Source organism: Homo sapiens, chromosome X (assembly GCF_000001405.40).
Source record: "Homo sapiens chromosome X, GRCh38.p14 Primary Assembly".
NCBI lineage: Eukaryota > Metazoa > Chordata > Mammalia > Primates > Hominidae > Homo > Homo sapiens.
In genome coordinates this window covers 53,530,856-53,546,261 of record NC_000023.11, presented here as the reverse complement: position 1 = coordinate 53,546,261, position 15,406 = coordinate 53,530,856, and the positions used below count along the sequence as shown (strand labels likewise).

Here is a 15,406-nt window from a genome sequence, read left to right as displayed (position 1 = left end):
CCTCTGCTCAGTTGTTTGAAAGCAAGGCTGGGTTTGTCTCCTCATCCCCGCTGCCCGGCACACAGTGGTGCTTAATGAAGAGAAAAGAGAACACATGGGAACAGCAGCGCCTCCTTTCTTCTCCATGCTGGGCACTCGTAAGAGCCCCATAAGACAGCTGAGGCAGCTTCACCCCTTCAAAGTATGTCCCTACACTGCATTCAGCCTCAGGAATTACAGAGTCAGAATAGTACTCTCTGCTTTTGTGTAATTTTGAGGGTATAAAAATTCTAAGAACAGTTACAAATTACCTCGTTTCTATCATCTTCCTCCCTGTTTTACTGAGAAGAAAGCCAAAACCCAGGGTGATAAAGTGATTGGACCAAGGAGTACAGCCAGGTTTTCTTTCAACATAGAGTCTGTCTACCCTGTCCCACCCTCATCCCAATCATGAGTCTCCCTAGATCTTGGCTACATACTTAGTTCTCTCTCTCCTTCACCCCCATGTCCCTAAGTCTGGGGTGATAGGAGAGTTGGTTGGCCTGTATAACTCAGGGTGTTCTTTGCTGCATGAAAATTACAACGTTCTTCCAGAAAGAATTTGGCCTCTGACCTTTCTCTCTTGGCTGCCACCATCTATTCCACACCTATGGGCCAGGCACTGTCTAGGCACTCTACCATATAATTATCTCTTAATTGTCACAGCAACGTTATGAGGTTAGGCAGTAATATTCCCATCCCAGTATTAATATTGGTTAGCAAATTGGGTAAGGGGTCAAGAAATTTGCCTGAAACCACCACAGAACCTCAGTAATTTTGAGAGATATATGGGATTTCAACCATGGTCTGTTTAGCTCCAGAGGAGATACTGTTTCTCTTCTACATGAAACTCATTTCATGCAGATTCAGCAGATCCCTGTGGCCATAGGTAAATTGGTAGTCCCAGGTGACGGTTCGTGGACACGCATAATAAGCTGAACAGAGCACGATTCCAGCTCACTCTAGGTTCTCTGCAGCTGAGCAATGAAGAGTGGCCTAAGCAGGTGTCTTAGAGAGATTTGGCTTTTAGCCACTTTACCAGGGGAGTCTCTGAACACTTGCTGACTCCTCTGCCTGCTCAGGTACCCTGCTGGCCGAGCTGCGGGAATACAACCTCGAGCAGCAGCGGCGAGCCCAATGTGAAACCCTCTCTCCTGATGGCCTGCCTGAGGAGCAGCCACAGACCACCAAGCTGAAGGGCAAAATGCAGAGCAGGTGGGTGGTAGCCACCCTTTGGCTGGGGGCTTGAATCTGGGATATTCTGGAAGATGGCTCTTGCTGGTTTCCTGGTCTTTTTTATTTCTCTGGGTGATTTTCGTATCTTTCCTATACACACTTGACCCATTTTTTTCTACTTCCTACTTGGAAGATTTCCTTCTGAGTTTCCTTACCCCTCTGGTTGACACCAGGAAGCCTTGCTTGCTTTGGGTGTTTATACTTTGATGCTGTCAATATACGCAAGCCACCTCTACACTATCCAGGTTTGACATGGCTGAGAATGTGGTAATTGTGGCATCTCAGAAGCGACCTTTGGGTGGCCGGGAGCTCCAGCTGCCTTCTATGTCCATGTTGACATCCAAGACATCTACCCAGAAGTTCTTCTTGAGGGTACTACAGGTCATCATCCAGCTCCGGGACGACACGCGCCGGGCTAACAAGAAAGCCAAGCAGACAGGCAGGCTAGGTATGGAACTAGAGTGTCCAGTTGAGGGGAAGGGTTGGTGGCGGTAAAGCCAGATTCCTTGGAGGTGCAGGACTTAACGGCCTGTCTCCTTCCTGTTTGACCTTTCCAAAAGGAAAATGATTATCCTTTTTTCAGAATGTTGATGGCTGCATTCTACATCTCATTCAAGCTATCTGCGTAGGAAATTCATTAGGGGGAGTGGGAATTAAGGGGGAGTGGAAATCTGGCAGGGAAGTTGGGGGCCAGCCTTTTGCTGAACAAGACTTAACTCACTAGGTGCATCTCCTTTCTGCTTCCTTGGTCATTTCTAACTAAGCCGTGGCTTGACAAATCATTTTCCCTACCTCTTTCCTCCTGTCCCACAGAACCCTCTCGCACAAAACCATCCGTCTGTCTAGCATCATGCCCCCTGCCCTTATCTGTAATGGTAAATCTTAGCGCCTGATGATGAGCACTCTGAAGCTTCCTGAGCTAAAGCTCAAAAGACCTCAGCAAGATGCCCTGTGGCAGCCCAGGAGATAGGAGAGAGAATATTGGGCTTTCCCTCTTCCTATATTTTATATCTTGCCTTCCTCTTTCTCTTTCTCCCAGGTTCCTCCGGTTTAGGCTCAGCTAGCAGCATCCAGGCAGCTGTTCGGCAGCTGGAGGCTGAGGCTGATGCCATTATACAAATGGTACGTGAGGGTCAAAGGGCGCGGAGACAGCAACAAGCAGCAACGGTTAGCATGATGCCTGTGGCCCCTCATTCATTTGTCTCTCCACTCATCCCCCCACCATGTCATCAGTGGGGTTTCATTGCCTTTACCTTGTATGCTTTTGCATTAAGTTTGCTATATGAATGCTTCTGGACAAAAGGGTTACTTTCTGTTGGTGTTTTCCTATTTGTTGATTGGTTTGTTGGTTTGATTTGATTTAAAGCTTGGCCATCATACCCCACTCCCAGCTATCCAGTCAACAGTGGCGCTTTTGCAAACTGCCTGATGCTAAGTGTTGTCTGGGTTCTGAGGGGTTATGGGGTGAAGTTTTTTTTCAGTCCCATGGAACAATGCAGGTACATCAGAAACATCTCAGGAATCCTACCATTGAAAGTCCCCCAAGCTTGGTACATATCCCACACAGCCACTTCTGTCTGTGGCTGCTCCCTCCACCCTGCCCTCTGCCTTTATTCTCCATAATCCCTTGGCACCTAGGCACTCAGGCACTTTTAGGAGGAAACCTTCAGGTACTTAAGTAGCCAGCTCAGTGTTGGGGTCCCGGCATTGAGTGGCTGCAGTAAAAGCCTGGCATCACATGTGTATGCTGTGGCACTCCCTCATTGTTTTCCTGTCCTTGCAACATGTAAGTTACCTTTCCAAGATCCAAGAAAGGTATCCTAAGACCCGATATTTCTTTGCGTATAATTACTATTATACAGTATGGTTTTATTGAGTAGGCAGGGAAAAGCCTTGAACTTAGGGGCAGTGACTCCAGGAAGGTAGAAAGGGAAAATAAAGCTGTTATTCTGGAGTATTTTTTCTGCCGAGTCTCTTTCCCATTACACGAAAAGATGTCGGCTTTTTAAATAATCCCGCTCATGAGAGGTTGCTCTAATTCTCCTATTATTTCCCCTTTTGTGAGCAAACAGAAACAAAGAGCAGACCTACCTTCCACCCATCTGAATTTTTTATACACACACACACACACACACACACACACACACACACACACACACACAACAGAAGAAGACTTGAAGTCTATATACAGGAGGCTAGTTCTGACTGGTCACAGGTCTGGATTGTAGACTGTAGGAAATGTAAGCATCCAAGGAGCTGTTGGGAAAAGCTTACAAAACACAGTGGAGAAAAGCAGAAGAGTTGGGAAAGGCATCCTTTTGTCCTGGATAGCTACAGTTTTCCCCACCCAAATATGGGAAGCTTCTTTGCAAGCTCAATGTATGAGAAGTGGAAGGGCCAACCTCTAGCCTGTCTCTAAGGAAAGCAGAGTTGCACCCTTATGTGATTTTTGTCTCCCTTTTATCCAGTCGGAGTCTAGCCAGTCAGAGGCGTCTGTCCGGAGGGAGGAATCACCCATGGATGTGGACCAGCCATCTCCCAGTGCTCAAGATACTCAATCCATTGGTCAGTACTACTTCCTGTTTCCAGCCGAGCAAAAGGGATAGCCAGTCTTCTGGAATGTCTGCTGAATCCCCTGCTCCCAGCATATATAAGCCCAGTGTTTTCCCATTTGTTCCAGTAAACCCTGGTTTCTGTAAATGATGACAGGTGTTTGACAACCAAGGCACACTTTTCTTTCCTGTAGTAAAGGAAAGAAAATGGTGGGATATCATGCATTCAGACAGCATGTTTTTATGGGGTTTTCTCTTGTTGTGGTGGTTGTTTTTGAGACAGTCTCCCTCTGTCGCCAGGCTGGAATGCAGTGGCACGATGTCTGCTCACTGCAACCTCTGCCTCCTGGGTTCAAGCAATTCTCCTGTCTCAGCCTCCCAAGTAGCTGGGATTACAGGCGCCCACCACCACACCTGGCTAGTTTTTGTATTTTTTTTAGTAGAGACGAGTTTCGCCATGTTGGCCAGGCTGGTCTCAAACTCCTGACCTCAGGTGATCCACCTGTCTTGGCCTCCCAGAGTGTTAGAATTACAGGCATGAGCCACTGCGCCCAGCCCAGCATGTGTTTTAAATCTTTTGTTTTATTATTGAGGCAGGGTCTTTCTCCATCACCTAAGCTAAGATACAGTAACATAGTCATAGCTCACTGCAACCTCAAACTTCTGAGCTCAATCGATCCTCCTGCCTTGGCTATCTGAGTAGCTGGAACTGTAAGGGACAGGCCACCATGCCCAGCTAATTTTTTTTATCTTTGTAGAAATGGAGTCTCACTATGTTGCCCAGGCTGGTCTTGAACTCCTGGCCTCAAGCCATCCTCTCACTTCAGTCTCCCATGTCTTCTTTCTTTCTTTTTTGTTTTTTGACACAGAGTCTAGCTCTGTCTCCCAGGGTGGAGTGCAGTGGTGCAATCTCGGCTCACTGCAACCTCCGCCTCCTGGATTCAAGTGATTCTCCTGCCTCAGCCTCCCAAGTAGCTGGGATTACAGGCGCCTGCCACCATGCCTGGCTAATTTTTTTTTTTGTATTTTTAGTAGAGACAGGGTTTCGCCACATTGGCCAGGCTGATTTCAAACTCCTGACCTCAAGTGATCCACCTGCCTCGGCCTCCCAAAGTGCTGGGATTACAGGCATGAGCCACGGCCGACCAGCCTTAGTCTCCCGTGTTTTAAATCTTGGCTCCCCCATTTACTGCTTCTGGGACCTGAGGCAAACCTCTTTGTTAGGTTTCCTTGTTTAAAATAGGAATGTTCAGTTGTTAGGATTAAATGAGTTAAAACATGTATAGTGGTTAGAGAAGCACACGATGAATGCTATTGTTAGCAGCATTTCTCAAAGTCAGTCATACATAGAATACATTTTGGCACCCTCATAACACATTCCCATGGAATAGTATTCTTGTAGGACAACCATTGTTATCCTACCTTTCATCAGGATTTGGGGAGATAGATATTATTTTCGTGTTCTGTATTCACCTTCTTTTACCTAAGGTCATATGATTTGCAAGTACCGGAGCCAGGATTCAAACCTAAGGCTGTCAGAACCTTGAAGAATAGTCAGGATTTGGGTAAAGGATGAACAGCAAAGGTCAGGAAGAAACCTAAGCAGGGCCAGGTGTATGGGGATCAGGGGTTGATGAGAAAACAGTCACTTACTCCCCACCCAGAAGATGGGGTTGTGTCTTGCTGCTTAGCTACTGAGCAGAGGTTAGAATAAGCCCCCAGTGAGTATCAGGAAAAGTACCAGCCATGGGATTCCATCTGTCATACCATGGCTTCTCAGGGTTTTAAACTGCCCCAGGACAAGATGACTAATTTAGAAGGCATTAGAAGGCCGGGCGTGGTGGCTCACGCCTCTAATCCCAGCACTTTGGGAGGCCAAGGCAGGTGGATCACGAGGTCAGGAGTTCAAGACCAGCCTGACCAACATGGTGAAACCAAGTCTCTACTAAAAATACAAAAATCAGCCGGGCATGGTGGCTTGTGCCTGTAATTCCAGCTACTCAGGAGGCTGAGGCTGGAGAATCGCTTGAACCCAGGAGGCGGAGGTTGCAGTGAGCCAAGGTCGCACCACTGCACTGCAGCCTGGGCGACAGAACGAGACTGTCTCAGGGAAAAAAAAAAAAAGGCATTAGACTTAAGGTTAGAAAGATTTAGTTTGATGTCCTGGTGCTGTCTTCCTCAGAAACCAAAATGAGGAAAAGACAGCCTACTTTCCAAGGCCAGCTGTCAGAATTCAATGACAAAAGTGTCCTAAAACATCCTGTGTAAACTGGAAGGCAACCATCCAAAGCTCCACTGTTGTTACATTACCCTGAAATAATCCACAGATTCTCTTGAAACTAGTGAGGCAGTGACTAGACTAGCACTATCTGGATCTGCAGTAGCACCTGTGGCTTTTGAGCACCTTAAATGTGGCTAGCGCAACTGAGGAACCAGATTCATTATTTTATTTATTCTGTTTAATGTAAATGCCATCCAATGCAGGTCCTAGACCTTGTTTCAGATGTTGCTCGGTGAGTACCACTCAGTGGCCAGTGGTCCCCTCTACTTGTTCTGTATATTAGTTGGTGCGTGTGGTCTAGAAAGATCTAAGCAGAAGGGAAATTTTGAAGACTTTCTGACTCTCTTCTGTGTGCCCTCCAGCCTCCGATGGAACCCCACAGGGGGAGAAGGAAAAGGAAGAAAGACCACCTGAGTTACCCCTGCTCAGCGAGCAGCTGAGTTTGGACGAGCTGTGGGACATGCTTGGGGAGTGTCTAAAGGAACTAGAGGAATCCCATGACCAGCATGCGGTGCTAGGTGAGTTGTGTCCTAAAGGCCCAGGTCCCAACCCAGTGGTCTGCTCTGGGGCCCTTCCTGCCAGCTTGTTTTTCTTCCTTCCAGGTTACTCCTCTCCCTCAGTGTCTCTGTAATGAGAATTCAAAAGAGAAGTGTTTTTTCTCTGACTTCAGTATAAAAAAGATTGACCTTCTCTTTTAATAGTTGGTGTCTTTCACTTTATAGACAAGGGGAATCTTTATAACTGGTTAGCTATCCCATTTTTCTTTGGCTTCAAGGAAGTTCCTCTGTGACTTGATTCTACCATATTTCCCTGCAAGTTCTCATTGTTTCTTTTTTTTTTTTTTTTTTTTTTTTAAATCAGAAATGAGGTCTCACTATGTTGCCCAGACTGATCTCAAACTGCTGGGCTCAAGCAATTTTCCCACCTCGGCCTCCCAAAGTGCTGGGATCATAGGTGTGAGCCACCACACCTAGCCTAGTTTTCACTATTTCTTCTTCCTTATTTATTTTTATAATTTGTTTATGATGGCAAAGAGGTTTGCATGTTGAAGTTTGCAGAGTAAAATGTTACTTCTCCATCATTCCTAACCCTAGTGCTACAGCCTGCTGTCGAGGCCTTCTTTCTGGTCCATGCCACAGAGCGGGAGAGCAAGCCTCCTGTCCGAGACACCCGTGAGAGCCAGCTGGCACACATCAAGGACGAGCCTCCTCCACTCTCCCCTGCCCCCTTAACCCCAGCCACGCCTTCCTCCCTTGACCCATTCTTCTCCCGGGAGCCCTCATCTATGCACATCTCCTCAAGCCTGCCCCCTGACACACAGAAGTTCCTTCGCTTTGCAGGTACAGGGAACTTTTAGGCTGCCAGGTGTAGAAGGCTTCATTTTAAACAGGATTGTTTCATACAGTTAATCCTTAGTTGATGAGAGAGAGAGAGAGAGAGAGAGAGAGAGTGTGTGTGTGTGTGTGTGTGTGTGTGTACATACACACACCCGTGCACGTAAACCCTGCATGGTTTCCCTTGGCCTCAGGATACTCAGGTTTAGAATAGAAATGCTCAGATTCACGTTCACACCTCAAGGGCTGGCCCTTGGTTTTGACTAGTCCTTTTAGAGCCCTGAAATAAGGAAGAGGAAGGAAGAGAGAGTTGCTAGCTGGTTGGCTGTCTTACAGCTTCTGGGGCAGATGATGTGCTTAATTCCTGCTGTCACTTCTCCCCTCAGAGACTCACCGCACTGTGTTAAACCAGATCCTACGGCAGTCCACGACCCACCTTGCTGATGGGCCTTTTGCTGTCCTGGTAGACTACATTCGTGTCCTCGACTTTGATGTCAAGCGCAAGTATGTGTCCTGGATATTGGGGGGTAGAGGGGTGGTGAGAACTCCCCAAATGGTAACTCGCCTCTGAAGTTACTCTTGAGGCCACAAATTTCCTTTGGTGACAGCACTTGGAATGGTGGTGGTGAGGAGGGAAGAGACAGCTGTAGCATTGATGGCCATCATACCTAAATACTCCTGGGCTTCTCCACCCCATCTGCATTTTTCATCAGCAAAACAGAGTCACATGATTTTTGAACCACACAGTTTCTAAAGTTCTGTTCCATCCGTTGGGGGTAGTACAGGAGGCACAGGTGGCCATAGAACACACACAGCAGGGTTCCAGGGGCTTCCACAACACTCCTGGAGTCATCCCTATGCCTCTCCTTCTCCTCGTGCATGTATACATGCTTACCTGCTTGTGGCAGAAATCACATGTCACAATCTTTGTGGGCCCTTACTCAGTGGAGGTAAGAAAAATTTAGAGTTGGTAATGAGTGATCTACCTCTCCCAACTACTGGGCATTTCCCAAACAGGTGTGGAGCAGAGATCAAAGTGTTTGGAGGATAGAAGGAGCATCATTGTGGGTCTTCTTCCTAATCACACAAACAAATTTGTTCTGCCACCCTTAATCCTATCTTCCTTCCTTTTCTACCTCCCAAGATATTTCCGCCAAGAGCTGGAGCGTTTAGATGAGGGGCTCCGGAAAGAAGACATGGCTGTGCATGTCCGTCGTGACCATGTGTTTGAAGACTCCTATCGTGAGCTGCATCGCAAATCCCCCGAAGAAATGAAGAATCGATTGTAAGGGCCCAGGAACGGAGAAAAGATGGCGGGTGGGAGGTGGGGCCTCCTGCACAGTAGCGATGGCTTGCTCTAGCCTCAAATTTAGGGAGGTGCTGCCCTCCCTAATAGGAATTCCCCATAGGAATCTGGTTTTAGATAATCTTACTGAGTTGTCTCCTATCTTCTGGGCCTGCCCTGCTGGCTGGCCCTTTAGCTAAGCTACCCAACAATTCCCAGACAGACAGGAAAGTCTTTGGTGTTTATAAGGATATACCTGCTGGCTTTGCAATGAGAGCTTTAATATTGCTATACTAGGAATGACCATGTATGAGTGGCCTCCACCAAACTGGTAACTGCTCACTGGTGATTCTGAAGCCACCTAGAGGAGATCAGCAGTTTGTAATACTGAGCGTAGGAGCTGATGAGATGAAAGACCTATTGGAGTTGTTTAATGATTCCTCCCCATCTCTTGTGGTGTGGGCTCTCCAACTGTGTAATCACAAGAAGTCAGGGAGTCTCCCTAGACAGACTGTATGCCATGTTCTTCCACCACCAAATACCTTTAGAGAATTTGGACTCTGGGCTTATCCCTCTCTAATACCACTTTTCTCCCCTCCCCACTTCACCTAAGCAAGGCCTCATTTATTTCTCTGATACCTTTCCTATTGGTGTTTTCTGGAATATCTGTTAACCTTGACTATTTTGGGACATCTCCTCTGTCAGTGGTGCTTTTGTTTGCTCCCAGATCTCCACCCCATTTCTGGGCTGTCCTGGCACTCTCTGTTTACCTCTTCATCTGACACTGCACTCCCCAGACACTGCTTCACAGTCTCTCACTCACACAAATGACTGGATGTATCCTGGGTTTTCTGCACAGCTCTTTTCTGCTTCTGCTTTCTTATGCAGGTATATAGTATTTGAAGGAGAAGAAGGGCAGGATGCTGGTGGGCTCCTGCGGGAGTGGTATATGATCATCTCTCGAGAGATGTTTAACCCTATGTATGCCTTGTTCCGTACCTCACCTGGTGATCGAGTCACCTACACCATCAATCCATCTTCCCACTGCAACCCCAACCACCTCAGCTACTTCAAGTTTGTCGGACGCATTGTGGCCAAAGCTGTATATGACAACCGTCTTCTGGAGTGCTACTTTACTCGATCCTTTTACAAACACATCTTGGGCAAGTCAGTCAGGTGAGGATGAGGCATAGTCCTGGGACTGTCTTCAGTCCTGGGGGTCTGGTCTTTTTGTGTCCCATCCTTGTGCTCCTTCTTCCCCCCCACTCGCAAACCATGACCCTGTATAATTGTGTTTTTCTAGATATACAGATATGGAGAGTGAAGATTACCACTTCTACCAAGGTCTGGTTTATCTGCTGGAAAATGATGTCTCCACACTAGGCTATGACCTCACCTTCAGCACTGAGGTAGGTCAGGAAATCCTAATCACAGCACATCCCAGCCAATCTGGAAGATCCATTCCAGGTTCACCTTAGAACTAGCACTGCGTGACCTTCTCATAGTTCTAAGGAAGCATCTTGACTTCTTAAAGCTGTAGCAGGTGTTTGTGAGTGACATCACAAACAGGAAAACCAGAATTTGCAGGCCATTTCCTAGTTTCACCTTTATTAAAAAAAAAAAAAAAAAAAAACTCCAGTACATAATTCCTCATTCCCAAGGGTAGGTCTTTGTAGAAAAATCGTACAAATGTAAGTGGGGGGAAAATGAAGGCAGTTAAGGTTACTCTTCTCCTAAATTCTTTTCCTAAGAGATTACATTCCGTTACATATGTTAGCCATTCCCTTTTCCCTTTTACCACTGATAGTTGCCTTACTCTCTTCTGCCTTTTTTGTAGGTCTTAGAGCCAAAGAGTATTTTCCTCTTTCCTACCCAAAGCCTTTCCCTATAAGGGGAGTTGCGAGCTATGAGTAGTAGAAAAAGTCACTGTTTTGTATGGACTTGCCTCATCTCTCTGCCTAGGACATGGCAAGGGGTTTAGGGTGTGTTCCTAGGTATCTAATCCCATCCTAGATGAAGTCTGATATGTATGATTGGTGTTTTGGTTGTTCTAGGTCCAAGAGTTTGGAGTTTGTGAAGTTCGTGACCTCAAACCCAATGGGGCCAACATCTTGGTAACAGAGGAGAATAAGAAGGAGTATGTACACCTGGTATGCCAGATGAGAATGACAGGTAGGGGAAATGTTCCTAGACCTCTAGTTGCTCAATATGAGAAGAGGTCGGACTTGATTCATTTGATAGGCATGTTTTGTTTTCCTCTGCTATGACAGAGCCACAAATGCCTTGCACAAAAGACAAAACACTTGATCAAAAATACTTAACTTTGGGCACGGTGGCTCACACCTATAATCCCAGCACTTTGGGAGGCCAAGGTGGGCGGATCAGTTGAGGTGAGGAGTTTGAGACCAGCCTGGCCAACATGGTGAAACCCCGTCTCTACTAAAATAAAAAATTAGCCAAGTGTGGCAGCGTGCGCCTGTAGTCCCAGCTACTCGGGAGACTGAGACAGAAGAATTGCTTGAACCCGGGAGGTGGAGTTTGCAGTGAGCTGAGATCGCACCACTCTTCTCCAGCCTGGGCAACAGAGTGAGACTCCATCTCAAAAAAAAAAAACAAACCCAGCTTAACTTCACTGGACACAGTGGCTCACATTTGTAATCCTAGCACTTTGGGAGGCTGAGGCAGGAGGATAGCTTGAGCCCAGGGGGTTGAGACTAGCCTGGGCAGAATTAACCAGTTGTGGTGGTGCATGCCTGTAGTCCCAGCTAACAGTGGTAGATGGGAGCCAGATGGGGGATCTCTGACCTCTACGGTTGTGTGAGTTTAGAAGTCATTTGGCTTTTTGGTTATCTCACCAGGAGCCATCCGCAAGCAGTTGGCGGCTTTCTTAGAAGGCTTCTATGAGATCATTCCAAAGCGCCTCATTTCCATCTTCACTGAGCAGGAGTTAGAGCTGCTTATATCAGGACTGCCCACCATTGACATCGATGATCTGAAATCCAACACTGAATACCACAAGTACCAGTCCAACTCTATTCAGGTGAGCTGCTGCTGGCATCCCTCCTCATATGGTCCTCTTACCCTAGGCAACGCTAGTTTGTGTGATACCAAATAAACCAGTAGTACTCTTAGAGGAAGTTGCATGTAGAAGACAGTCTACCTATATCTAACTCTTTGTTCTCCTGAAGCATAGCAGACTTCTCTTGGCCGTCTTATGAATGAAAGGAGCTAAAGCTCATCCCACAGAAGGGACTTGCCTCAGATACCAAGTCCAGTCCTGTTTCCTAGATTCCATCCCCCCCACCCTGCTTCTAGGAGCTTTCTACCTAACACTGGCTTCATGGGTCCCTTCCTACAGATCCAGTGGTTCTGGAGAGCATTGCGTTCTTTCGATCAAGCTGACCGTGCCAAGTTCCTCCAGTTTGTCACAGGTACTTCCAAGGTACCCCTGCAAGGCTTTGCTGCCCTCGAAGGCATGAATGGCATTCAGAAGTTTCAGATCCATCGAGATGACAGGTCCACAGATCGCCTGCCTTCAGCTCACACATGGTAAAAGGAAGGGTTTGTTTCTCCTTTTCAGTGCTTAGGTTGAGCTTGCATACTTGATGTTTTCAGGACCCTACCCAAGATTGGGAACACAAATGTGGCTGAGTCCTGGACCTTGGGTAACTCACAATTTGGTGTTTCTATGGAGGTGATGTTTGAGATGAGATGTGCTAGACACAGTGGGGGCTGGGGAGACACTGTCAGGTAAACAGCACCACAAGAGAGCATGGTGTATTCCAGGGCCAGCGTGACTGGAGCAAGGAGGAGTTGCAGGGAGCAAAAGTCTAAAGAGCTCAGCAGAGGTCCGATTACCAGTGACTCTGAAAACCACCTTCAAGTTTGCACTTTAGCCTATGGGCGAGTGAGGCCAGGGTGTTTAAGGAGGAGTGACAGGGTCAGATTTTTGGTTTTGGTGCCTGATGGCCAGTTTGGGAGCCAGATAAAGGGGGACATACTGGGCTGAGACAAGATTGGGAGTCATCAAGAAGCAGGGAGTTGGTTTCTTCAGGGAGGGGAGGGGCTGGTGGGCACCATGGGAACACACAGATTTGGTTATCTGTCATCCCTCACCACAAACTGATCTTTCTTCTTTCCTTAGTTTTAATCAGCTGGATCTGCCTGCCTATGAGAGCTTTGAGAAGCTCCGCCACATGCTACTGTTGGCTATCCAGGAGTGCTCTGAAGGCTTTGGGCTGGCCTAATAAGGCCCTGCCCAACTCCGTGGGGTTTTTTTTACCATTGTTGGACCTGGGGAGGGGGGAGTTAAAAAAAGAACCAGAAAGAAATTGTCAAAAACCAATAAATGAAATCCACCAACTCACCGTGTGTGTCCCAGCTGCCCCATCTTCCCCAGCGCATACCTGTTCCTCTTCTCATTCTCTCCCCGCCGCCTGTTTCCTCACCTTCTCTCCCCTTTCCATGCCGTCCATGATCCCCACCCCATGTGTTTTAAAAAGGCAGTAGCCTTTGCAGGGACCTGTCTGTCCCAACTGTTTGAACAGTGTGCTCCTCAGATTCTGTGTTCAGAAGGATTTGCTGCATTGAGACTTGAAACCTTTGGATAGGGGAAAAAATTATATATATATATATTTTTTTGTTCTGTTTGCATTTCTTAATTTGTGCTTGGAATGTGTTGATGTGCACAGCTAATGATTCAATGCGAGACAAGATTGGCGTCTGTGTTGTGGAGGTTTCAAATAAAGAGCACTCTTCATAACTCACTTTTCACAATGGAGTTTTTTTCAAACTTAAAAAAAAAAACAAAAAACTCTTAAGCACATGCTAGGCATCTGGAGAAAAGATGGATTCTCCAGGAAACCATCCCTGCCCTACCCGCTTGCCCACCTGCCTCCACCACTGGTGCAACTTCCTCCTTCAGAGTCAGTTTCTGCAGTCAGGAGAGATGAGCAGTTCACCAGGAATTGGGGGTGGGGGCATCTGTTTTTTTTTTTTAGAATGGGAGCTGCACTTGGGGATGGTGATGGTGTTAGAGATTGCAGCCCAGGACAAAGCATCACCTTGCTCAAGGGGAACAAACTGCAGCAGGTTGTACAAAACATTCAGAGAGCTCACTTGACCCAACCGAGGGTTTTACTTGGTGAGCCTTTCTAGTAGTCTTGAGTCTGGGGCTCAGTTTTAGATTTTTATTTCATTAATGTTTGTTTATTTCTAATAAATTTTAATAAGCGAGTAATTTAACTAGGTCGCCAGAAGACCATTATTTTTGTTTGTCTATTTTTGTTGTCGTCACTCCCTCTCTCGTCATCTGTCTGCCAGTCTGTTCACAGATCACCTTGTAGTCCCTTGTGGTTTTTACTCCATCCAGTGCTTAAAGCTGATCTAAGGACTTCGATGGTTCCAGCCTTCAAAGAAAAAATAATTTAATAAAAATTTAGTTAGAAAAAATAACCCCAAGTGGTGCTTGCCTTGTGTGGTTTTTCTCATTTTCCTGGGGTGCTACCTCTGAACAGATTGTCCCCTTGACCTTGTCCCAAAGTGTGGGTCTAGGAAAGAAAGGGTGTGTCTTTAACCTGATCCCCTGGTCCTGGAGCCAAGGCTGCTAGCCATTTTCCCCTTTTTTAGTGTTCCCACTCTTTTGTGCCTGGCCCTGCTTTGATGACTGAGAAGGCAGAGGAATTGCCCCATCCGTGTTACTGAGCTTCTAGTAGGGAGGCGAAGACAGTGATTAGTTTTGTGACAGATGAAGAAAGGGGTCTCAGTGCACATAGAAGTGCCTGACCTAGCCTGGAGAGTCAGGGAAAGCTTTCCATCGTCGGTGCACTTGGATTGCAGCCTAAAGCTGAGCAGGAGTTGAGGTTAAGCAGAGAGGGGTCATATAATTCAAGGCAGGAGGAGTTTAGTTGCTTAGAGTCCAGCAGGACTTTAAAATGGAAGAGATACACCAGGTGCGGTGGCTCACGCCTGTAATCCCAGCACCTTGGGAGGCTGAGGCGGGTGGGTCACCTGAGATAAGGAGTTCAAGACCAGCCTGGCCAAAATGGCAAAACCCCGTCTCTACTGAAAATACAAAAATTAGCCAGGCGTGCTGGCGTGCGCCTGCAGTCCCAGCTACTGGCAGTCCTAGCCACCGCGCCAGTCCCAGCCAGGTTCCGTGACTCACGCCTGTAATCCCAGCACTTTGGGAGGCTGAAGCAGGAGAATCGCTTGAACCCGGGAGGCGAAGGTTGCAGTGAGCTGAGATCACGCCATTGCACTCCAGCCTGGGTGACCGAATGAGACTCGGTCTCAAAAAAAAAAAAAGAATAAGCAGAGAGTAGAATTTGTCAATAAGCAGTAAGATTAACTGGTTCTTTGAAATAAAGGTCTGGCAGGTAATTTAAATTTGAAAGTAAAGGGGGGGTTCCTGGGTTGGAGGTTGGGGGTTGGATGTGGAAGCTGGGAGTACAGATGGAATAATCCTATGGGAAATGGAAGCAAATCTCATTCAGTGGGATACTACAAAAATAGAGCATGATCAAGTGTGATTTGCCCCTGGGATATGTGTAGTGTAATATTAATCGCCTCATTGTCAGTTGAGAAATCTTTGTCCGTAGATGGCAAGGCATTTGTTCACATTCAAGAACCATTCCTGGCAACCTTTAAAGGTAAAGCTAGCTTGATAAGGTAGTTTCAGACCAACAGCCAACATCACACT

At 46.9% G+C, this 15,406-nt stretch overlaps 1 protein-coding gene across 50 annotated transcripts in view; it reads left to right on the top strand.

The window, feature by feature from the left end:
* Positions 1–14,166, top strand: part of HUWE1 (HECT, UBA and WWE domain containing E3 ubiquitin protein ligase 1) — a 154,624-nt gene extending 140,458 nt beyond the window's left edge. For 34 of the 50 annotated variants that reach the window (NM_001441051.1, XM_047441751.1, NM_031407.7 and 31 more), the window contains 14 exons: positions 1,101–1,233; positions 1,500–1,702; positions 2,294–2,421; positions 3,723–3,819; positions 6,450–6,605; positions 7,182–7,427; positions 7,808–7,925; positions 8,566–8,706; positions 9,595–9,882; positions 10,010–10,115; positions 10,761–10,878; positions 11,565–11,746; positions 12,065–12,255; positions 12,851–14,166. In NM_001441051.1, the coding sequence (NP_001427980.1) occupies positions 1,101–1,233; positions 1,500–1,702; positions 2,294–2,421; positions 3,723–3,819; positions 6,450–6,605; positions 7,182–7,427; positions 7,808–7,925; positions 8,566–8,706; positions 9,595–9,882; positions 10,010–10,115; positions 10,761–10,878; positions 11,565–11,746; positions 12,065–12,255; positions 12,851–12,953 (2,210 nt within the window). In that variant the 3' untranslated portion in view covers positions 12,954–14,166. The remainder of the gene's footprint in view (positions 1–1,100; positions 1,234–1,499; positions 1,703–2,293; positions 2,422–3,722; positions 3,820–6,449; positions 6,606–7,181; positions 7,428–7,807; positions 7,926–8,565; positions 8,707–9,594; positions 9,883–10,009; positions 10,116–10,760; positions 10,879–11,564; positions 11,747–12,064; positions 12,256–12,850) is intronic. The other 16 variants (NM_001441048.1, NM_001441049.1, NM_001441050.1 and 13 more) reach the window with 1 other exon arrangement.